General features: G+C 35.1%; 1 long non-coding RNA gene across 1 annotated transcript in view; it reads right to left on the bottom strand.

The window, feature by feature from the left end:
* Positions 1-1510: 1510 nt before the first annotated feature.
* The window catches only part of LINC00290 (long intergenic non-protein coding RNA 290), a 95061-nt gene continuing 70777 nt past the window's right edge, over positions 1511-25794 (bottom strand). The window contains exon 3 of the long non-coding RNA NR_033918.1: positions 1511-1902. This is a non-coding gene — a long non-coding RNA (long intergenic non-protein coding RNA 290). The remainder of the gene's footprint in view (positions 1903-25794) is intronic.

The raw sequence follows: 25794 nt of genomic DNA on the forward strand, positions 1-25794 counted from the left end.
ACATTCATCAAAACTCTTAAAAGTCTTTAGATCCTTGTCTCTGTAAACATGAGAGCAGAAGATTACCAGAGGCTAAGTAGGGATATTTATAATAATTTAGAGCAAAAATTGATTTACATTTTTGATACTATAATAATCTTATCATGTAAAAGTTACATTTATCAATTGCTTAACTATGGATAGCAGCATGCAAGTTTTGAACAAAAAAAAGAGAGATCTTGATCTTAATGAAAGAATCACACAGAAAATAGAAAATGAGTTCATATTCTGAATGTATGAAGTTACACAAGGAAAAAGAAACTAGGAAGCAAAGTAAAACAGCATTCAGGTATCCATAAGCTACAAATAAAAGGAATAAATTTCTTTTTATTTTGTAGGGATTTATTTGTACTTTGCATCATTAAGAGTAATTCTATGGATCCCCTGCATTCTAACTGGTCATCTGGAACATTTTGGCACTTATGCTTGTCTGCCAAGATTCTAAACTAAATCAGATGTTGAGACCACTACAGACATTTTTCAGAATATTTTGATGTTTTAAAATGTATGGTCAATAATTTCAAGGAAACAATAAGCTTCTCATTCTTTTGAATTGGTCCTCAGGAGTTTAGATTGAAACAAAACTTTTCTTCTGTTACAAATTAGATTTTTTTTTCAGATGATAACAAATTAGAGCCACATTATAATTTGTAATTCGTACTTCAGACTTGGCATGTATACACATTTCTAAGGACATTTTGGAGAAATATTCCAACTGTAACTTTAAAGAATATTCTTAGGTCTGTACTGAGCATTCTACTATGTAAATGGACTGTGCTAATGTGTTTGACTAAGAGTTATGGTTGGAATCGTTCTTAGATCCGTTCTGCTACTGTGCAAATAGACAGAGCCTTAGGTACCTTTATGCTCCACTAAATATTACTAGTAAAATTCCTTGTGTTATTAACATATCATAAAATAATATTTGCTTTCAGGCCCAATATATTCAGAAAACATAAAAACTGCACTACTTCAGATTTAATTGACCACAGGGTTAGTCCACATTGATAAAATCTGAATTATGGAAGAGTTTAAAAGAAATGCTAGTTGTTCGCTCTAGTGAAGGCCCCTAATAGATTATTAAATGCAATGAATATGACTGATTTGTTAAGAACCTTGCTGCAGTAATGTCCTTGAGTTCATGCCATGGAACTACTTTAAAAGTAAGGTCATTGTAGAATAGATTGTTTTGGTGACTTAGCAATTAACTGCTCTAAATACTGTCTAAGACTAATGTACCTCATTTTCTATCTCTAGTTAATAAAATGACATTAAGTTTCCCACATATTTGACATCTGAAATTTCTCTTTCTTTTAAACAATTTTTATAATCTATTCAGTTTTCCCATGTAGATAAAAATTATTTCAACCTAGAGCTTATAAAATAATCACACATTAAAATTTGTGTTGTCTAGATTAAGCTGTACCCCATTTTAATGCATTAACCTTGACAAAAGAACATTTCAGACTCCTTTAAAAGCAATAAATTTTTAATATCAACTGATGTTTACCAAGATTCTTGTTCTCAATGAAATTTTATTTTCATTAACATCCAAGTATACTCTTTTAATTCCTTTTGTGTTTTTAAAATATTCATAATGCCATTCATGAATCACTCTACGGCATCATCATACATTAACTTTGTTTTTTAATACAATGCCAGTAAATTTCCTCGTGTGTATTGCTTTATTTCAGCATCAAACCCCCAAACAAAACCAACAATAGAGTCAGCATCTCACTTCACAAATGAAAGTGTGAGTCTCAGAATCTCCCCCAGCTCCTCGGCCAGCTTTGGCTCCGGTTCAGGGCCATCTTCTGATGTAAACGTCAGAACTCATTCTGTGCCATCCAGTTGCTGCTCTTTCTAAAGAAGAGAATACTGAGCATGAAGGATGAGATGCATCTTTTAACCACCCTCTCCTACCTTAATGCTAAGTCTTAACATTCTGAAAAATCCTTGCGATTGTGGAATTACTGTATCTTTCCTGGTATGATTTACAATGAAACACATCTTTGCTCTGCTAAAGCATTCAAATCACCCACTTCAAATTGGCCGTGCCCCACTCTTTCCGGGTTCAAGCACATAGTCTAAAAAAAAACAGGGCGTGTCAGTCTCCCATATAATATAAACTTTCCAAGAGTGAGTGAGGGACAGTCTCTCTTTCCCTGTTGCCCAAAACAGGTTGGGCAGAAGTTTTGCTTTAGTTTGTGCAGCTCCAATATGGTGTTATTTTAAACAGAATTTATCACTTATACTCCTGTGAGGGAGCAAAGATGTGATGAGATAAAAGAAATGAAGCTTCAAGTTATCCTTCTAATCCTCCTACCTGGGATTACTTTCAAAGAGTGTGTTTGCTCTTATCTCAGGGGAAATTCTCCTTCCTCTGGACTACAACATTCAGGTAAAGTATTTTAGAAAACATGGTATACTGTTTGTGAAGATAGCAAAAATATCTATCTTTTGAGAGTCTCTTACATAGAATACTATATCAAATATATTTATTCTTTTAGCTTATTTCTGGACCCTTACTCCTTTTCCAAAGACAAAGTGTCAATGGAGAACAAATAAATTTTTCTTCTGTATGCTCAAAAGATTGTCTGAGGTGGGCTTTTCATCACAGCTTTCAGATTCTAGTCTAAGCTTTAATTTTGTGTGTGAATAAGTGATTACCAATACAAATGCAGTTCTGCCATAGAACGACCAACAGCTAATCAGTTATTCCATTAAGCACATTTTTAAGCTTACTTTGCCTTGAAGTAAGAGTATTTTATAGAAAGAAACGAACACACAGGTTATCTGCAAACTATATATCTCAGACAAAAACCTATTTTTCCATGAAAGAAAGTGGTATCCAAAGGATTAAAATTATACATTAGTTTACTAATCTTAAAAGGAGGAAGGTTTAATGCAAATATCACACTATTCTAAATAGCAAGGAAGAAAAAAGGCAACAGTTTTTAAAATGCCAAAAACTTCCTATTTCCTCAACAACATGCAATCAGAGACAGAGTTTCAAGGACAAAAAGCATGTGTGTGTGCGTGCGTTTCAGCTCTTAAAAGAATAAAAGAAACTTCTCACAGCTGAAGCACAGTAGTGTTCTAATCAACAGAAGGACATGTAGGGAGTTGAAGTAGATTTTCATTTCTGAGAACGCACATTTATATTATTTTCAAGAGATTTTTAATTTAATTTCATGTACATTTGTAGAAGCCAGGATTCTTGCAAACTTTTTTTAAGGTTTCAGTATATACCAACTTACATCACAATTTCTAGATTTAACTGAAAACCTTAAAGGAATTGAGTGAGAATCAAACATCTAAATAAAGATTTCCCTTAATCTTCCACGTTTTCATAGAAACAGCAAAGAAAAAAGTTGCTTGTTTCTGTTAGAAGCAATTAGTGAGCCATCTCATCTCGTTGAGGGTGAGATTTATTACTTGGCAGTTAAGTGTACCTTTCTTATTCATAATAACAGCCACCTGAAATATCTTTAGTAACTTAACACATACTTTGATTATAGACCTGAATTTGACTTGCCACATCACAACCAAACAGAATCGCTTCTGTTAAATATAATTTGGAGATATTGGTGTGTTTGCGGGTGTTTTGTTTAGACTTCATTTTAGTACATTATTTAGTGCTGATTTCACATTAATAGGCATTTCATTTTACCCCTGGTTCTGAGGTTTTAAAAATCATGCTTCAGTTTATATGCAAATATTGAAACAAGAATGTAAAATAGTTCTAAACTCTAAATGTTTTCCCTTATCAAAGTTCCAGAAAAATGCATCACTCAAATTGTATATAGTAAAAAATATATAAAGTTGCTCTTTCTTTTTCAAATTAAGATTAACCAAATTATCTTAGATATCACTGATACAAAAGTGGGGGGAACCAAATAGAAATCATCAATGTATGTGTTCTCTAAAATATGTTACTTTCCATTCAGTAAATGTTACGTACTTCTTCCTTAGAAGTATATTTCATGCTATGGATAGAAAGGAAAAGAATGAGTTGACCCCAACTCTAAGAAGTTAATAGAACAGCTTCAGTTGATAAGTGAAAGACACACACACACACACACACACACACACACACAGAGAGAGAGAGATAGAAAGAGAGAGAAAGGTTACTAAGAATAAAAGAAACTGTTTTTCAAAATGAATTGGAAGGTAGGAAGCGCTTGTAAAGGGTAGACTAGAATAGGTTCAACTTGGGCCATATCGGTCGAGAGAGACCTGGAAAATGATTTGGCTATTAACTGATGGATGATGCAGGCAGAAGAGAAGATATAGAAGACCACTTGTTGTCAGTTGGGTTCTCTGGAAGCAGAGGCTTAGATGGGGTTTGGGGCTCAGGATGTTTATTTGGAATGTACACTTAAGCAGGATTGGGCAGTGGGAGGAGTCAAACCATGGTAGGAGCCTGACAAAGCCTCAGCCAACCCAGCAAGATGTCAGGAACCTGCATGTCCCATCATAGCATCTTGCATCAGGCCAAAGTGGATCTTCAGACTCTTCCTGGGTTGATCACCAGGAGTGTAAAGGACTTGACCTTGGCCTAGTTGGCCTTCTGCAGCTGAGGCTGTCCCTGAAGTTTTTGAGACCTGGAGACGGTCGCTGATCATATTAACCATGGATAGGGAGCAAGTCCTTACTTGAAGGAAGATATGGGTGGCCCAGCCTCACATCTGCCATACCAATGCATGAGCAATAGCACACATCAGACATTGGAGGAAAGCATGAGCAAGGTGTACTTAGGGCAGACAGTCGCTGGTGACGAAACCCTGGAGTTGAGGGTCATAGCAGACCACAATCTCAAGAAAACAGAGCACCATGCTGGGAAGGTATTTAAATGCCGGTGTGAGGATTTTGCTCTTCATAGGGGAAGAAGTGTAAATTAAATGAGAATGTGGCAAAGCAGCACTTGGGAAAAATTTTGTATGTGCTTTTGAAGGCCATGTATCTATTAGGAGAATAGGGAGAGGTGAGGGAAGCAGGATGATAGTGCTTGTTAAAAATGACTTCTGCTGCCGAGCGTGGTGGCTCACACCTATAATCCCAGCACTTTGGGAGTCCGAGACGGGCAGATCATTTGAGGTCAGGAGTTTGAGACCAGCCCGGCTAGCATGGTGAAACCCTGTCTCTACTAAAAATATAAAAATTAGCCAGGCGTGCTGTTGTGCAACTGTAATCCCAGCTACTTGGGAGGCTAAGGCAGTAGTAGACTCGTTTGAACCCAGGAGGTGGAGGCTTCAGTGAGTCATGATTGAGACCCTCCACTCCAGCCTGGGCGACAGAGCAAGACTTCGTCTCAAAAAAAAAGTTCGACCGTGCGCGGTGGCTCACGCCTGTAATCCCATCCCAGCACTTTAGGAGGCCGAGGCGGGCGGATCACAAGGTCAGGAGATGGAGAACATTCTGGATAACACGGTGAAACCCCGTCTCTACTAAAGATACAAAAATTAGCCGGGTGTGGTGGTGGGCGCCTGTAGTCCCAGCTACTTGGGAGGCTGAGGCAGGAGAATGGTGTGAACCCGGGAGGTGGAGCTTGCAGTGAGCCGAGATCGCGCTGCTGCACTCCAGACTGGGCGACAGAGAGAGACTCTGTCAAAAAACAAAAACAAAAAAACACTCCTGCACGAAGCTATGAAAGATAGCTACACACCTTAAACTACCAAAGTTAGAGCAAACACACCTTAAACTACCAAAGTATTTCAGGAAAATATGCTGTTTAAACAAGTAATTTTGGGCAAAAGAGACCTTCGACGAAACAGGTTGTTCAAAACTTTTTTTTTTTAAGTTCATGTCTGCCCTGCAACCAGAAGTTGGCACATATTTGACTCATTCCAATCAATCAACTGGCCCCTCATTTACCAAATGTTTACTGAATACCTACTAAGCGAATGAATTTTGTTCCCTGTTATGAGTAGCTCACAGTGTAATGAGGGAGATAAAATGAATAGATAATTTGTAATACAGCATTATCACCACTGGAAATGCGCGGTGAGGGTGGCAATAGTTTCACCTGGAAGTGACTCTCCAGCTAAGGGCTTTGTGTTCTATGATAAAACGATAAAGAAACATTAAAGGAGGTAATAAGACTACATTCATATTTTAGAGAGGTGACCTGTGATAGTTAGGAGTTGGAAAACCAAGTTGGAAAGCTGTTGCAAGAGCTCAGATAGTACAGAAAAGATGCTAATTAAGATTTATTGAGCACCTATAATGTGCCCCGCTGTGTTCTAATTATATATATATATAAAAATATATATATTTATATATATTTTTATATATATTTATATATATACAATTTAATCTTCACAATGGTGAAGTTTGAAATGAGTGATATGTTGTTTGGATTTTTCTTATAATTATATCAACTCAATGTTGGCTTCTAACATTGGCAAACTCAGGTGATTAAGAATTGTGGTTGATGTCATCAATAACAGTTTTTAAAAAGGAAAGATAAAATTTGGAAAAAAAATTAAGAGGACCATGGTGAAAGATAAGTATTGTTGCTTAAGAGAAAGAAAATGACGTTAATAGAACAGGAAATATTGTTTAAGAAGTAAAAGTTAATTCTCTTGTGCAAAATTCAACTAATTTATAAAAATCACAAACTACACACCTTCACATACACACACTAAAATATTGAGGGAGAAGTATCAGTAAACATGGAAAGGAGGATATAAAACTAGAGTATGCTTTTAAACTCAATATGCTTGAGCAACAATAAATAGAATGACAACATATTTACAGAGGAACAAAATTAGCCTAAGGAAAATACTCTTAAAATACAGTGAAACCCACTGAAATAGTCACAGTCAGCATCCAGCCTGTGGGTGTGCATGTATGTGTATTTAATCTCAGTTACAAGCCTTGGAAGAGAGAAATGAAAAGGAAAGGATAAAAGAAAACACAAAAAATATTAATATTTGTAGAGAATTTAAACATAGTTTGCAACACCCATGAATACCATCACTCTCATCACTGACTTCTTCATTACATTCATCTCTAACATTATAAATATGCGAATTATGTGTGTATATATACACATGCAGTATATATAAGTGTATGTGTATATACATATATACATATATATACACATATATATATACACACACACACACATATACATGCAGTCCCTCTCCCCGACATCATAAGTTCCATGAGGCGGGGTTTTGCCATGTTCAAAACTGTGTCAATAATTGTGTCTTGGCACATGCTAGATGTTAGCATTCGTTGAATGCTAAATGAATGAGATGTACATATTATTTCTTTTTATTTTATAATTAAGAAATAACATAGTATTTCTTAAATTTTAAGAAAAACTGAATAAACTTACATTCACTTGCTCAAGATTGCCAAAGTGTGGAGCCAAATTTTGAACCCAAGTTCAATTGGTCTAATGACCATATCTTTTGCTGTATAAGCACTGCCTTTTGAGGTGTTAAAGAACCATCTCCCATTAGACTTTTCTTTAATTTGCCTGATTTGATTTTGTGTGGTATATAAAACGTGGAGAAGGATGATGGTGAATTATATAGGCATGGTGGCGAGGCCCACCTTTAGTCCTAGCCACTTGGAAGGCTGAGGCAGGATGATCACTTGAGCCCAGGAGATTGTAGTGAGCTATGATCATGCCACTGCACTCCAGCTTGGGAAACACAGCTAGACCCTGTCTCTATAACAAATAATAATAATAAAAATTTTAAAATGAAAAGGAGTTATGATGGTGTATTTCTTAGTCCATTTGTGACTGCTATAACAAAATACCATAAACTGTGTGGCTTATAAATAAGCATAAATTTATTTCTCACAGTTCTGGACCTGGGAAATCCAAGTTTAGTATCCAGTAAAGGACCCACTTCCCAGTTGACAGACAGTGCCTTTTAGCTGTGTCCTCAGTAGAAGGGGTGATAGAGCTTCTTGGGGCTCTTTTATGAAAGCAGTAATCTCATTTAGGAGGGCCTCTAAAGACCTAATCACCCTCCCAAATGCCCCACCTCTTAACACAATCACCTTGAGAGTTAGGATTTCAACACATGAAATCTGGGGGGTTCCAGGGAGGGGACAAACATTGAGACTGTAGCAGATTACCACTGAAACATCTTTAAAGATTAAGTTCATGGTTCACAGCAGCTTTATAAAAGAAAAACGGATTCTTGAAAACTAATTGACAATATGCATCTTTTCACTTTGTGACAAATGATGATGTAAATAATATTCTATTTTAAAGTTGTAATATGTCTATCTGCACCAAACATTTTGTTATACTTTAATGGTTGTAGAAAACAATCAGTGAATTTTGAATTTGCATGAAGCCAATCTTATGTATTATCACTTTCATGATAAAACATAATCAAGTGGTAAGAAGCAGAGATCTGAGGAATTTTTTGTGGTCATTGTTTTTAACATGCTGGGCAAATCGGTTCATTAATTATCTCTTTTTCATAAGTAACACCAAAGTAAAAGCACTTAGCTGGCTCCTCTTGGATGTTAGAGAGTGAACACAACTCCTGTGGACTTAACGCAGGCTGATGAATCCATTAAGTTATGAGCTCTTTTGCTAAACACAAAAAGGGATGCCCAGATGTGTCTATATATGATCATCTTATTTTTGCCAGACTCCTGATTGGTAGTAATTACTTGAGCAGAATGAATGCTGAGATCACTGTTGTGTATATTAAGACAGGAATCAATACAATGAATCGTAGTTAATGTATTTTGCACATAAGATGTGAACTGAGCTTCTCACACCTTTCTTTTTATATTTACTTATATTTGTCACTGAAATTTTGGGGATCATTCTAATTTAGTAGTGATCGTATAAATATATTTATAATTTTCATAATTTAAAAAATCAATTTCACAGTTGTTAATGTGGCTGCTGTTTTATTCAAATGAAGCAGAAGAGGTAAAACTGCGTGGTGAATGCATACACTTAAAACATTTCTTGTATACTTCCCATTGCTCTAATAAAACGAAAGTTATATTCTCATTTGTTATCTATGTCTAATGTCTCACAAATACTTTTTTTTTTTTTTTTTGAGACGGAGTCTCGCTCTGTCACCCAGGCTGGAGTCCAGTGGTGCAATCTCGGCTCACTGCAACCTCTCCCTCAAGCTATTCTCCTGCCTCAGTCTCCCGAGTAGGTGGGACTACAGGCATGTGCTACCACACCTGGCTAATTTTTTGTATTTTTAGTAGTGTTGGGTTTTCACCATGTTAGCTAGGATGGTCTTGATCTCCTGACCTCGTGATCTGCCAACCTCGGCCTCCCAAAGTGCTGGGATTACAGGCGTGAACCACCACACCCGGCCCTCACAAATACTTTTATACAGCCACTAAAGAATACTTTAGTCCTTTAGTTCGTATTATGCAGCTGTCTTTCTACAGATTAGCTTTTATTATTACCCATTAATTCTGCTAGAGTCGTTCTGCCCTTTTTGGAGGTTTAGTTTTTCTTTATCTCTAAAAGCACCCTGGTCACACAGGCTCATGCGTGTGCATATGCAGAGCATAACTGCCATGTTTTCTCTTTCTTCTCCTCCTCCTCCACTTGCTTCTCTTTCTCCCTTGCTCGTTATTGGTTGTTGATTGCATCTAGTATCTCTCCCTGGGATATTTTGCTAACGTATGAAGTGGTGTTGGTATGTGCAGTGCTTGGCCCTGTAATTGGTTAACATTAACAACCTGAGCTTTGTTGTATTTGTAAACATGTCTGTTACCTATCTACATTTATAAAGGTATTACAAAATACTTGCTGAATTTTGATATCTTTTTTTAATATTCTAATATAATTTATATTTAACTAAGAAATTATTTGTTTTTTGATGGCACTTGCATGTTGAATCCAGTGTTGCTAATTATAATGCTTATTACATTCCTTACCTAATTTCTGCTTACATTTTCCGAAAGTGACACCTGCCTTCTCCCTCCCTCCCATGTTTCAGAATATTTAAATCCCAGTGAGTCTTTTTGTTGTTGCTGTTGTTTTATTTTAACCTGATGCATAATTGGTGATAGTGTTCTGCCGTTTGAAATTTCACAAAAAGTTTGCACGATGTGCATTTCTTCAAAGCCACTTGCAAGTATTCCACTTCATTGAGATCAAGATTTTTCATCTTTTAAAAGCAGATACTGTAATAAATATTGCCTATCTCAAAGGGTCGTTATGAGAATTTAATAAAGTCATATGTGGAAAATACCTAATAAAGTGCCTAGCCTGTTGCTAACATTAGTTTTTACTATTTTTCTGTATGATTGTTAGGATCTATAATTTTTCAAATACGTAAGTAATTTTCAACAAAAAGTCACAGTCTAACACTTAAGGCCATTGGCATTTGTCAAAATTCAGATCTTTCTGTTTGATTGAAAGAGGGAATAGTAATATATTTTTTCCTGGAATATTTTTGAGTAATGTTAAATATGTGAGTCATTATTACCAGAAACTATGATGCTAAACGTTTGTATTTTCAATGCCTTACCAACTTCTTTCCTCATGTCAAAAAAAATGATAACCTCTGAAATTGGTAGTTTTATCTGGTCTAATTAATTCCTTCTGTTAAACCATAGTAATTATTAGAAAGAGTAATTCGGTGGTAGAGGGAACAGAAAGAAAAGATGACTCTGTATTTCTGATTTACCTAAGAAACAGAAATAAAAGTGTTGGCGGGGGAAACACACCATAGTAAGTTTAACTTTCTGTTGAGCCCTAAAACAGCTCAGTCAGTGTAGATCAGGTACAATAGCACCTCTTTTATCCCCATCTTTCTTTTTTTTTCTCCAAAAGCAACAAAAATGTATGCTTAGCTCCAGGGGAGAACTGCTTTCCTCAAGCTGGAATCCTGTACAACTGTCATCTCCAATACACTTCTACACCTATTTTACAAAGAAACTTCTTGCATTTCTTGGGTTTGTGAATGGTTAGTTTCAAAGTCCCTTTTAAAACAGCTTTACAAGACCTTTAACTCTGCATAAACCCACAGTTTCCTTCTCCAAGTTTACAAAAGCTGATCCCTGAGCTATGGGATAAGAAATAAGTCACCGTTATCTTTGTGTGTGTGTGTGTGTGTGTGTGTGTGTGTGTGTGTTACTTTGAACCTATTAAATTGGTACTAAAGGACTAAAGGTCAGATGCAAAAGCATTGGAAAAAAATCAAAAATTTTCTTTGCATTTTGAGTATTAGTTATTTCCCTGTGATAACTTATCTCATAGTGATTTTATTACATTAAGTTGTTGTGTTTTATTTATTGTATTTGAATTCTAAAAGTGGCAGAAATTTTACATAGTAATTCCCAATTCAGTGCATGTTTTCATTAAAATAACCACTTAAAAATGACATGTATTACCTGCCCCCTGTTTTAAGACTGAAATCAGTAACAGGGTAATAATTTCAGTGAATGTTCTGGATTAGATTGGTTCTGTACTGGATTACATGGATACATGATCCTAGGATCCATGAATATCTAAGATACAATAGTGATAGGGACAGGAGGCAGGGAAATTCTGGGCCCTACACTCCAGCCTGGAACCGCAGCCCAAAGTGAGAACGTACATTCCTGTTTTCCCACTTGAATGCTGCCTTTTCCAAAACCACCCATGGTCCAGCCCATCCCCCATCCTGTGCCCATAAAAACCCCAGGCTCTGCTGGCAGAGAGAGGAGAAGAGGAGAAGCAGATGGATGTCAGAGACTATGGTTGGATGTTGGAGAGAAGTAGCTTGCCTTCAGAGGGACAGCTTGACAGCGTGACTTCGGATAAGAATCTGGCTGGAAACCGCTAAACTTCAGGGGAAGATCACCTTCCCACTCCATCTCCTTTCCAGCTCCCCTTCCTGCTGAGAGCCACTTCCATCAGCAATAAAATCCTCTGCATTCACCACCCTTCAATTTATTTGTGCAATCTGATTTTTCCTGGACACCGAACAAGAGCTCAAGTACCACGGGTGTGGATGCAAAAGGCTGTCACACTGACCCTCTGCCCTTGCTGGCAGAAAGTAGCCACCTCACACAAAAAGGCAGAGGGCCCACTGAGCTGTTAACACTTTAGCTGTCCATGGACGTGGCAGAGCTAAAAGAGCACTGTAACGTGCATTCTGGGACTTCAGGGGTCATGGCACCCCCTGGATGCTGCCACGAGGCCACTATGGAGTTCGTTTCTGCCAGCACCCAAAAGCGCTCTCCCTGGCTCCTGCACCTGCTCACCTGCATACTCCCTCCTGTCAGGGGTTGAGCACAGAGGGCTCAAGTGAATGGAGTTTGCCCCTGCCAGTGCCAAAGCAGCTGGCTAGCTCCAGCACTCGCATTCCAGTTCCCTCCCACGAAGGAGCCAAGGGAAATTTCCTGTTTCAGTAGATATGTAATATCCATGAATATGTAATAAGTAATAGATTAATTTATAGATGAATATTGCCACACTGTTAAGTGCAAAAATAAATACAGCAATTGTGGGAGAAAAAGTCAGCTTAGATTTGAGACACCTAATCCTATGTCTGTGCGACCACTTCCCCTAAAAATTTTATGCCTGAAACCACCAAGAATCACCTTGCTCCTTATATAAGCTGCCGACAGTTTTTCTGTCTAGCTTTATTCATTTAGCCACAATAACCTTCACTCCGCTTCAAGGTTGCCCTGAGGCGCCTTATATCCAGCTCATGTCAGGATGTCTTGATGAAGCTTCTAAGCATGAAGTCTTGCAGCCTCCTGGAAGCTCTGCAAAGACAGCCGCAGGTGATTAGATGAAACGGACAGCAATACCTATAGTAAGTGCTTGAATTCCATGCCTACTCCAAAATATGTGCCCTAGGCAAGAACCCAATTTACTCCCCCTGGGGCCAACTTTGAACCATCCCTTTCCTCTGTGTTTGGGTAGAAATGTTGGCACCACAGAATCTGCGGTAATGTCGCATCTTTTAGAAGATAATTTGCACTCATTAAACACGACTATAATTTGTAACTACTGTAAATTAGTCAAATTTCTCCCTTAAATAAAATCATCACATTATGTTGAGGCCGAATGCAAAGTTTCAGTTGCCCACATTTTAATGAGTGGTGAGTTACGTGAAGGAGAGTAAAGATTTTGTGTAGACTTAATTCTTTATTTTTAACTAGCATAGTTATGTTGGAAATATGTAAGCACCGAGGTTTCAACTATCTGCAACTCAAGATGCGATATAAAATGTATTCTATTTAATGAGCTCTGCATTCCATTGACTGTTGAACTATACATCAATTGCATGCCACTTCCTTTCAACATTCAAACTGTTTAGCTCACACTAATAGGTACATTAAAAAGAATCTTGCTACAAATATGAACGCAGACATCATAGCTATATGCATTTCTGCCTAGGCTCACACTTTTTTAAAAGCTCCTAAGAGAAATCTTCACAAAGATAAACTGTAACCCTTTTTGTGCAGTGTTTGCTAATGGAGAAAGATATGATGTGCATTTTTTCTGTACACAGCTGAACTAGTGTACAATGATATCAACTAGAAAAAATGAGAGAGTTGGAATAATCACTGTATCATTATAGACATAGGCAATTGATGAATTGTTTAGCTCTCTTTATGTCTTTGAGTACCTTTGGTGAAAAAGTGTGAAAATAACACTATTTAGAATTGTAAATTGAATCACGATGCTATCATAGTACTTTGAAAACAATGATGGATGTTTTTAAATAGAAAGTGGGCTAAATGAGTCCTGAAATATTACAAAGGTAATCTATACTCGTAAGTAAACAGTTAATAATCTCAAAAGAGAGATTTAGAAGGCACATTATTCATTTGCTAGTGTTACAAATGGCCTTTGACTAGTTACCTATTAAGAAAGAGAAAATTATCTGAACTCCAGAATAAAATTCACGTAAATACTGTCTGCTAAAAAAGAAAAAAAAATGAAAGAAAATTACTCGTTAAAAAGACACTTAAGAAAAAAAGCTTACTACTTGTGTTTCTAACAGAGAATGTGAAAATAGTCCTGCTTTTACGTTGTTTTTAACATGTTTGTGAAAATACAACTTTGTAAATCAGCTTAAATAGTAGGTTTAATAAAGAGCATCTTTAAGAAGTCAGTATGAATTGTATGTTATTATCTTCTTGGTTGTGGATCTTTAGAAAAAAATATTTAGGTGAATATTAATACTCATAGCTAGTCACAGAAGAAAATATTTTATTCTTGCTTTGTTTCTCTCTCTCTCTCTCTCTCTCTCACACACACACACACACACACACACACACACACCCATACATATATAGTTTCTCTTTATTGGAGAGCTTATTGGTTTAGATAAAAATTTCACACAAATAACAAAATATGATTTTAAAGATTGTTAGTGGCATGAAACTAATTTCTTTGCCATAAAATCATAAAAGCACCTCCATAATGGGAGTAAAATATAGGAATGAAATCAAACTCTGTATGCTTACTAAAGCGTTGATTTTTTTCTTCTATATTATTGCACTTTGGTGTTGTATGCTGTGGAATACTGTATTTTGGACTTTGGACATTTTTGGTAGAGAGTCGAATATTTTCTATAGACATTGTATTTTGAAATTTGTGGAAATATGACAGTGTGGAAAAATAACATATCAGAAAAATGTGTTTATAAATCTGCCAGTAACACATACTTTAAATGAGTTTATTCTGCAAATGGTAGAATTTGAGTTCTCCTAGAATTTAAAATAAGTACAGATTTAGTCATTAACATTAAATTCCCTGGTAACCATATATATAAATACAGTCATAGTGTTATTTTCTTAAAACATGGAGAGTGGTTACACAAATACCTCATGAAACATATAGGCTAACCATTTCCCTTCATTTTGCATAAATTGGCCATGGAATTTTGCTATATAAATGTAACCTTCAATGTAATTTGATACCCTTTCAAATGGTTTCTGCAGTCAAAAAAAATCTTGAATTATATCATGTATGTTACTAATATTGGCTTCTCTGCAAGGTTGAGTAAACAGAAAATAAAATGAAAACATCTGCAGAAAGTGATCCCAGTATGAACTACTGCCATAGCATTTCATTCCAATCAGAATCACTGTTTACTTTCAATATTAAGACCAGCAGTAGGTAAGACCACTGGCTGAAAATTAAAAGCTAATCTATGGAAAATTGTGGCCAAGGGATGTGTAGTCTACATTTGAACATTTGTTAAATAAATAATGAAACATAAGAAAGAGGCCAAAACCTTTCAGAAATCCTTGGATTTTATTTATACCCTGATGCCCACATCAGCACGCTGCAATTCTCACAGTGGGGCCATTTTGACCATCTGGGGCCTGGAGTGAGCCACAGCTCATCAGACAGTGTCCTTCTCATTTGCTTAGTCAATTGTTTTTAAAGAGCTTTGAGATTTCTTTTGCAGGAAAGTTGATTTTTTTTTGGAACATACTACTCATTTTTGTTTTTTGAACGTCTTCTTTCCAATAAAACTGCTATAAAACCTCTTCCAATTCACACTGCAATTTGATGAATTACCTTCTCAGGATTTCATTATAAATGTGTTTGAAAGTGCTACTGCAGAGAATGAGGTGTTTGGAAATAACAAATAGTTACAGGGCAAATGAAAAGCTGTACATTGAAATGCTTTGAGTTCTGAGTATACCAATAAGCAGTTCATTTAATTCCTTAGAGCATCTGTGTACTACATTATTATTATTAGGCAGGGTTATTTTATTAATATAAAATAGAATGCATCTGTGCTGGAGAAGAATCCCACACCACGTGTATGACAGGCCTGACCTATGAGCAAACCACAGAATCCAGTGGAGTCTGGTTTGTGATTAAGGGCAATGATACATGACATCTTCTAGCCATGCAGTGAAGTCAGGTGACCTTACTGAGCTATGTAACTTCATGATTTTGTAATCATTTCTTTTAAGGGTTTAAAAGTTCATTTTATATTGCAAATACACTCCAGAATAAATGTACAGCAAATCTGTGTGAGATAAGTTTATTCTCCATCTTAAAACCAGACTTATCAAGGTTCCGAATTCCTCCCCACCCAATTTATTGGCTATTCCTGGTATACTCATTTTAATGAAATCTGAAGTATTAGAATTATACAATCGCTCATCTGCAGGACATGTGAGGGTTTAACCTGACCAAAGAGAACAAGTCTGTTATCCCATAACAGAGATCGGAGACTTTAAGACTGATTGTTTACTGTTTTCAGCATTATTACCATCAATTTTTTTTTTTATTTTAGTAAAACAGCATTTCATCTCAACCTAAAAGGTTTCTAAACGTTTACCATTTTGTGATGGTGTTTTAATATTTTTGGAGTTCCAGCCAATTATTAAAATCAGATTGGCTGTATAAAATGAAACAAGGAATTCAACATCAGTTTTAATTTGACTGACTTATTGATAGGGTCAGCGACTGCAAACCCTGACTTACCTGTGTCACAGTTAAACCACTTGTTTCACAGATCTGCATAGAACATACTTCATCCCTGAAACCAGAACGTGTGGTGCAGTACATGCGTCTCTCACCTGGCTTCCCGTAAGTAAGGTGACAGCAGTAGCAATATCTAGTGGAATGACATGTTCCTTAGGATTTGGAGTAACATGAATACAATGGGTGCAAAGGAGTCAGTGTCTAGCCCTTTCCCCTACTTTTGATTTAGAAGAGATATAAAACCAGGGCCCAGGGTAGGGTAGGCCTTCTCAAATTCTTGCTGAACCAATAAAGCAATGAATTAACTAATGCTTTATTTCTGAAAAGGGCTTTGGAATAATTCATATTAGGTAAAATTTTACTTAATTTATTAGAGTTTAAGAAGCAGAAGTACATTAATAATTATTGCTATATTTTTTTTTCTTTTCTAAAAATGGGTAAAGATACTAAAGGTTAGACAAGTTTAGTGATCTGTCCAAGATTACAGGGCCAGAGAAAGTATAAACTAAAATGCAGGATCCTCTACTCACAGTTCAAAGTACTTTCCTTTCCACTACATCCTTTTTTTTTTTTTTTTTTTTTTTTTTGAGATGGAGTCTCGCTCTGTTGCCCAGGCTGGAGTGCAGTGGGGTGTGATCTCGGCTCACTGCAACCTCCACTTCCCGGGTTCAAGTGATTCTCATGCCACAGCCTCCCAAGTAGCTAGGATTACAGGTGCCCGCCATCATTCCTAGCTAATTTTGTATTTTTTAGTAGAGATGGGGTTTCACAATGTTTGCCAGGCTGGTCTCGAACTCTTGACCTCAAGTGATCGGCCTGCGTTGGCCTCTAAGTTCAAAATTATTTTAATCTTGATGATTATCGTGAAAGAGACAGAAGTTAAAATGTCCAGTCTTGGAATTACTGAAGATTAACAATAATTTTAAACAAATATATGTGTTTTTTATATATATATAATATTTTATATAATATAATATATAATGTTTTATATATAATATATAATATATAATGTTTTATATATAATATATATAATGTTTTATATATAATATATAATATATAATGTTTTATATATAATATATAATGTTTTATATATTATATATAATATATAATATTTTATATATATTATATATAATATATAATATTTTATATATATTATATATAATATATAATGTTTTATATATATATTATATATAATATATAATGTTTTATATATATATTATATATAATATATAATGTTTTATATATATATTATATATAATATATAATGTTTTATATATATAATATATAATATATAATGTTTTTATATATATATAAACAGTCTATCTGGTATACATTGATTCATTCATTCATTTGATAACAACTTGTTGAAAAGGCTGATAGACAGTAAGAAACTCAAGAAATACAGACCTGTATTCACTGTGACAGACACTAGAATCATGGTTAGAAGGATAAGTCACAGGAAAGATGATGATAAATAAATGAAGATATTCAGTATTATTTTGATTGCTAGAAGACGTAAATGTCTATTTACTTTTATTATGACCCATTATCTTTACCAAATGGCTTTTATTATAAAGAACCCGTGTAAAACATAGATATATTGGAAAGTAAATTACAAAAAGTACCAGCAGAATAAAATGTTAGGTAGAAAATTACCAAACTCCATCGTTTTCAGTTGTGATATAGACCTAGCTGATCTCTGGTTCTACACATTGTCCAAGTGAACACAAAATATGTCTCTCCAGTTGGAAAGAGGAAACTTAGTTTGATTCAGACATTTCTCATTTTCTGTTGTGACTTTTCCTGTTTTAGCAGAATTATATATTTTTTATTTTATCTCCAGCGGGTTAGTGATGTTTATTAAGTGGGAGAGCTCCATGAGTAAGTTATACTGCATTTTATTTATTCTTTTATGGTTATTCAAATAATTCAGGATGACATAATTTAAAGACAAAAAACTCATAAACATTGCATGCCTATATGTCTGTTTCACAAATTACAACATATATAAATAATAAAAACTCTTTTAGCACCAAGAAACGCAATATTCATCTATTGTTATTCTTTTCAACTAGCTATTTAAGGTAACTATCAGATACCTATAAATATATACAATTATTTTTAAGCACAATATTATAAAATGCATTATACTAGTATATACATATATATATTGTCTCTTTCCCTCTGTCTCTATATATAGAGAAAATATATAAATATAAATGTATAAAACATATAAATATATATGTTATAAATATATGTATATTTATATGTTTATATATCCCCACCATAATTGGCTGGGCATGGTGGATATATACACAGAATAGATATAGATATATGTGTGTATGTATACATATATACATATATAGAGAGATCCTAAATACAGAGAGATAGAATATATATAGTCTAGTATTTTGGTGTACATCGGTTCATTCATTCATTTGATAATGACTTGTTGAAAAGACTGATAGTAAGGAGCCAGGAAATACAGACCTGTACTCATTGTGACAGACAGTAGAATCATAGTTAGAAGGACAAGTCACTGGAGAGAAGATGAAAAATAAATGAATATATTCCTATATATCTAGCTGTATCACATATAATAATGGAATATAATATATAACCTATATAATACATATAATATAACCTATATAATAACTGAAAAAGATGGAGTTTGGTAATTTTCTGACATTTTTCATAATATGTATTTATATATATAACATTTTATACAATATATAACCTATATAATGACTGAAAATGATGGAGTTTGGTAATTTTCTGTCTGACATTTTATTCTGCTGGTACTTTTTGTAATTTACTTTCCAACAAATCTATGCTTTACATGGGCTCTTTATAATAAAAGTTATTTGGTAAAGATAATGGGTCATAATAAAAGTAAATAAACATTGACTTCTTCTAGCACAGGGCTTTCCCTAACAGTGATTGCATTTTAAATTTCTGCAGTTAGGGTAGCACAAGGCCCTTATACAAATGTATTTTATTTTTAAGGGTTTGTTTTTGAAAGAATGACTCACCCAGCCTTGAAACTGGGTGGTCCATCAGACCTCATTCCAGCTAGCACAGGGCTTTCCCTAACAGGGACCTGTTTCAGAACATAGATATTTGTTTGCTTGTGACAGCTGCCTTTGGGGTTTTCTAAATACAGAGAGAGAGAGATCTTTGGTTTCTCTCTCTCTCTTTCTACCTATGTATAGATAGATAGGGGTGTGTGTGTGTGTGTGTGTGTGTATATATATATATATATATATGTATATATATATATATATTCAATTGTATATATATACACAACTGAAATAGTGACTCTATATATATAGATATGTATAGATATAGATGTGTATATACATATATATATATATATATATATATATATATAGAGAGAGAGAGAGAGAGAGAGAGAGAGAGAGAGAGAGAGACACTATGCTGCCCAGGCTGATCTTGAACTCCTGGCCTTAAGCAATTCTCCCACTTCAGCGTCCCAAAATGTTGAGATAACAAGTGTGAGCCAGTGCTCCCAGGCTAGAATATTTTTTATCTTCAAATAAAAAGCAACATATAAGCTCTCTAGTTGAACAAAAGTAGCTGAAAATAGAATATAAGTTTATTATTATGGAACATTGTCTTTTGTAAGTTTTATTGCATTCTGTGCTGAAAGATTCTGTTTCTGAAACAGTTTTTACCTTATGTAGCCTTATATAAGAGCAATACTGGTATGAAACAAAAAGCCTAAATAGGTTTTTTAAACTTTAACTATAGATTAAGGAACATATTGGCCAGTCAAAATACCTAGCGAGGGGCCAATTGTAAATGATGCAGTGACGTATACACAATGTACACCAGCTCACAACGCTTTTCTCCATTCATGGACCTTTCATAAGCCACAGCTACACCAAGGCCGAGGCCTATAGATCTAAAGGAGCAACTTACTTTTATATTCCAGTTTCTATCTTATTATAATATGACTATAAACCGAGTCACTGGCAATCACACAAAGCCTTGTTTACAGAGTATCTGTACATCAATAGTATTACTACATACAGGCCCTCTCCACAAACATTAAGAATGGTATGGAAATGAAATATTACTATGTAATATTTTTGTTTTGCATTTCCAGATTATTTTGATCATTCTATGGAGACAGAAAATGTAAAACACTGAGAGAAGAATAGTTCCCTAAAAGAACTTTTCAAAAAAAGTAAATTTGAATGAGCATATATAAATATAGATGTAGGTAGGTCAAATGAAATTAGCTACTTAGTGAAATGAATTTTTTATTGTTTGCTCTAGCAAACATCCAGAAATGGCCAACAACTAAGCAGCCAGAGATTTTTTTGTTGAGCACCCAAATTTATCTATTTCATTTTAATTTACCATACACAATAAAGTAATTAAGGCAATCACTGTTTTATTGTCTGCCTATTTCAAGGATTTAAGGGAAGTTAAATGAGGCACAATGGCCCACCTGCTAAAACATCTTGAACTTATATTGCATTTCAGAGCATTTGTTCCAAAGACCTGGCGTGCTTGGCTTAGATATTAAACACCCCATGTGTTGTATGTCTTAGTATCTGAAGATAACTTCCAATAAATTTAAAGTATAAAACAATCCGGTTTGGTATAAAAGTAATAACATCCTTTACTATGAAGCATGCAGGCTCTCTCTAAATACCTATGGTTCATGCACATTTTACCCACTATTTCAAAAACAGTCAATGAAAATCTGGCCAGATATCAGTATTTAATTTTCCCCATGCTAAGTTTCAGACTCCATGTTGAGTTCAGCTGCTGAGAACTGGAAACGAATATGAGATTTTTTTTATTGTCTTGTTTTGGAGAATGGAGACCACAGGATTCTATGACGTGAGCTTGTTGAACCCTCATCTCACTAAATGTGCACAGCTCTCCCTCATGACTAAAACGCACTGTCTGTTGTGAATGGCTTTGTTTTAGCCTCAGTTTTAATAGAGCCAGAGGCAAATGTAACAGTATTTTAAGGTACGTTTGCCTGGTAACTGCTGTAAATGTTTTAGAGGTATTTATAAGACAACATTTTTTGTATGCAAATTTTTATACAATCCACATGGTAAATAAGTGCATTTCCACATGAAGTCTATGATAACACAGCATTTTGATGTTCTCTATGAGTAAGAATGTCATAGTTCACCACTGATAGGCGTGTATGTTTTTAATTTTCTTGTCTAGCCAACTATTTGCTTTCTGCGGTGTTAACTATTTCTTTCCTTAACTTTTTATTCAGTTGTGTTGCTTTAATTCTTCCCCAAAGAGTTTGAGTATTTTATGAACCTTCACATTTTGACCTGTAAATCATCAATCTTACAAGCTTTAATTTGGAAAAAAAAATTACAAAGAGCTGAAAACTGACTTTCTGAACCAAAATTGCTTTCTTAACATATATTTTTAAAGAGGGAAATTACTATGACAGGTTGATTGCAATTTAAAACATCATCTTCTGTGGATTACAAGTATTTTAAGGTTCATAATTTCCATAATTATTTTTTCTGCCTATAAAATGCTTCAAATTTAATTGAAAATAACATCTGTATTAATTTCTATCATTTAGGATGAAAGTTGATTGTTTCTAGAGTTTGTAATTCTCTGAAGTGTTGCATATCAAACTGTGTTCTCTACAGAATTTAAATCATAAAATAAAATGTGCATATTTTCCCCTGCAGGAATTCTATTTGAATCAAGCCCATCTTTAATTCTTGTCAGAATGCACCATTAATAATTTATTAACATTTATTGTAGTTTATACCATACACCTTAATACACCTTAAGCTGTTTTAAATACATATAAATTACAATTTGAATATTATTTTATACAGCTTCTTCAGTGCTTGATTCATCTGTTACAAATTTAAATAATCTCCTCATTGTACTGGGCATTTGGGGATACTACTTGCAGGAACAGGGTTTAAGTAGGAGAAACTGAAGTCAAACTGTTAAGTGCCTGATTGCAGTAGGATGTGCCACTCTGTGATTTTGTGTCTCTTCGTTTGCTTTAATTAAAAAATATCATTCTTTAAAATATTTTGGGGCTGCTAGAGTGAGTATGTGGGAGTCAATTTTTGAGTGATTACAGTTTAAAATCCAGAGATAGTATAAAATGTAATACATTCATTACAAACAGTATTAACAATAGCTTTTGCAAGAAAAGGATCTTGGAGTAAAAGTTAATTTCAAATGGTTCAAGTGTTTTCATTCTACAAAATTGGGAAATGGAAGTGTGTATTAAATAATTAACTGGGAAATGAAAATGTGTATTAAGTTTATGACATTGTCTTCTCCTAAAATGGTAAATGATTAGCTATAGAAAGAATGCAAATAAGACTTCCTTTCTCTTTTGATGTGGTACTCCAAGATATCAGAGCACCATTCAAACAGGGGAATACTAAGTTTAAAAAATTATTTTTGCAATCTATTCCTACATTACAGAGCATACTGCTCTAGTTAATATATTTCAAACCTGAAGGATTTGTTACACAGAAAACAGTCTAGAGCAAATATGTGTATGTAAGTGTGTATGTGTATTTATTGCACTTATTTACATATATATGACATAGGTACATTTATATATGTACATATATTTTTCTACACTATTTTCTGCATGCACACACACATATATATGCTGTATAGGAAGTATTCTGGATTCCTTTTGAATGCTTGCTGCATGTTACTTACATAATTAGGGCCATCTGCTCTGTTATTACAAACTTCCGAGAACTGGCATTCTGTGATATGACTGCAAATCATTAAGCAGCCTGTTAAAAGAATAAGCATGCGCCATACTACTAAGAGATCCTCAAAAATCTTGCACGGATATAATATATGATCCTGAAGAAGTAATGGATTAGTGAATGATAATTATAAAACATTCTTTTATTGGTGAATGTTGTTTAACATTTTATGTATAAATAATGCTTATTTTCCAAGAGTAAAGAAAAATTTAGAGGAAGCTGCAAAAATAACCTCCCTGTCCTAAGAAGTGCATATTTAAAGAATAATATCAACATCATGACAGCATAGTTAAAAATATCCCAAAATGAAATTGTCTCTATTTATTGCTAATGTTAAGGCACAGCAGCACCACTCACCCAACAAGATTTTAGAATCACATACTATATTAGAAACCAAATAAATTCCTTTGTTGTTGCCTTCTACAATAATTGGCTTTTATTACAGATTTAGCTGGTCATATAAATAGCTGAATTCTGAATTTTAAAACTGATAAGGTTGAGGCCGGGCACGGTGGCTCACACCTGTAATCCCAACACTTTGGAAGGCTGAGGCGGGCAGATCACTTGAGGTCAGGAGTTCGAGACCAGCCTGACCAACATGGTGAAACCCTGTCTCTACGAAAAATATAAAAGTTAGGCAGTTGTGGTGGTGGATGCCTGTAATCCCAGCTGCAGCAGGAGAATCACTTGAACCCAGGAGGTGGAGGATGCAGTGAACCTAGATCACACCACTGCACTCCAGCCTGGGTGACACAGTTAGACTCCATCTCAAAAATAAATACATAAAATAATAAAATGGATAAGTTTGAAATATCGTTACCAGGTTATTTTTTTTAAATTGCTCAAGAAGCAATAAAATATTTATCTTTGGTTTAACTTGTTTTTTGGTTTTTAACTTATCGCAGATCTCAATACTCTTGTGTACTCACATGCAATGTAGGTTTCCCATAATCAACTTTATGCATTCCCTCATAGTTTATAGAAAAGTAGTTGTATCTACTTTTTTTTTTTTTTTTTTTTTTTTTTTTTTTTTTTTTTTTTTTTGAGAGGGAGTGTAGCTCTGTCGCCCAGGCTGGAGCGCCATGGTGTGATCTCAGCTCACTGCAAGCTCCCCCTCCTGGGTTCACGCCATTCTCCTGCCTCAGCCTCCTGAGTAGCTGGGACTACAGGCGCCCGCCAACATGCCCGGCTAGTTTTTTGTATTTTTAGTAGAGATGGGATTTCACCGTGTTATCCAGGATGGTCTCGATCTCCTGACCTCGTGATCTGCCCACCTCGGCCTCCCAAAGTGCTGGGATTACAGGCGTGAGCCACCGCGCCCGGCCATATTTACATTATTTTAAGTGTTCCCTGTTCTTCATATCGATACCATTACATTCAGTTTTAAGATGTGTTAAAAGTTACTCTTTCCACATACTGATGTCTTCTCATTGAGGGTACATTCCTTGGTCATTCTCTTAAGCACATTGCCATTATCTCTTCCTTCTATAAGGTGATCTAAAAGATGATCTTAAGAAACAATTACCATTCTCATTTTAAGGATTTCAGTCTGTAAAGTTAAAGAACCAGATACACGTGTAATGTTCCCCTGTTTGGATGGTGTCTGAGATTGCAACGACATTCTGAGCCAATTTGCTGTGCAATTCCTGACCGCCAACTGCACTCGGACCCTGGCCAGGCATCTTGAAAGTGCAGGACTCTAGACTCCAGCAGACAAAATGTAAATGGATCAAAAACTGTTTCATCACATTCACTAAACTATCTCCATATTATTACTATAATTTTATAGAAGAAAAAAATGTTTTATTTAAAAAGTCTTGTCTAGTAATAACCTTGATCAAGAATAACAGGATTTCTTCATAACTTCAGCTCAAAACATATGTTGAACTTTACCAACAAAATTCCCAAAAAGTCACACTTAGATTCTGTGGATAAATACTTATCACTTCCTCTGAAATGTTATTTGTCTAGGATATTGGCGAAAACTTTTACCATGGTTTGTTTTTTTTTAAATTACTTAGAATACAGTAATTTTTGGATGACAATACCTAGGGATAAAATCTATTGTCTGTTTATGAAGCTACAAGCATGGTAAGAAATGTTAAGGATTGAACAAGCAGCTTTTAGACTTCATTCAGTTTACAGAGATCTACCTTATATTTCTGCCTTGAGTGTTAAATGTTAAAAGCAAATGATGATCTAAAAAAAAATGGTGCTGGATTCATAATAACAGTGAAAAGAGATATATAGCACAAATTATTAGGGATTGGCTGGCTGCAGTGGCTCACACCTGTAATCCCAGCACTTTGGGAGGTTGAGGTGGATGGATCACCTGAGGTCAGTTCGTGACCAGCCTGGCCAACATGGTGAAAACCCATCTCTACTAAAAATACAGAAATTAGCTGGGCATGGTGGCACACACCTGTGGTCCCAGCTACTAAGGAGGCTGAGGCAGGAGAATTGTTTGAACTCAAGAGGTGGAGGTTGCAGTGAGCCGAGATCGCACCACTGCACAGCGGCCTGGGTGACAGAGCAAGACCCTGTCTCAAAAATAAATAAGTAAAT

The sequence above is a fragment of the Homo sapiens genome, chromosome 4 (genome assembly GCF_000001405.40).
Source record: "Homo sapiens chromosome 4, GRCh38.p14 Primary Assembly".
Lineage (NCBI taxonomy): Eukaryota > Metazoa > Chordata > Mammalia > Primates > Hominidae > Homo > Homo sapiens.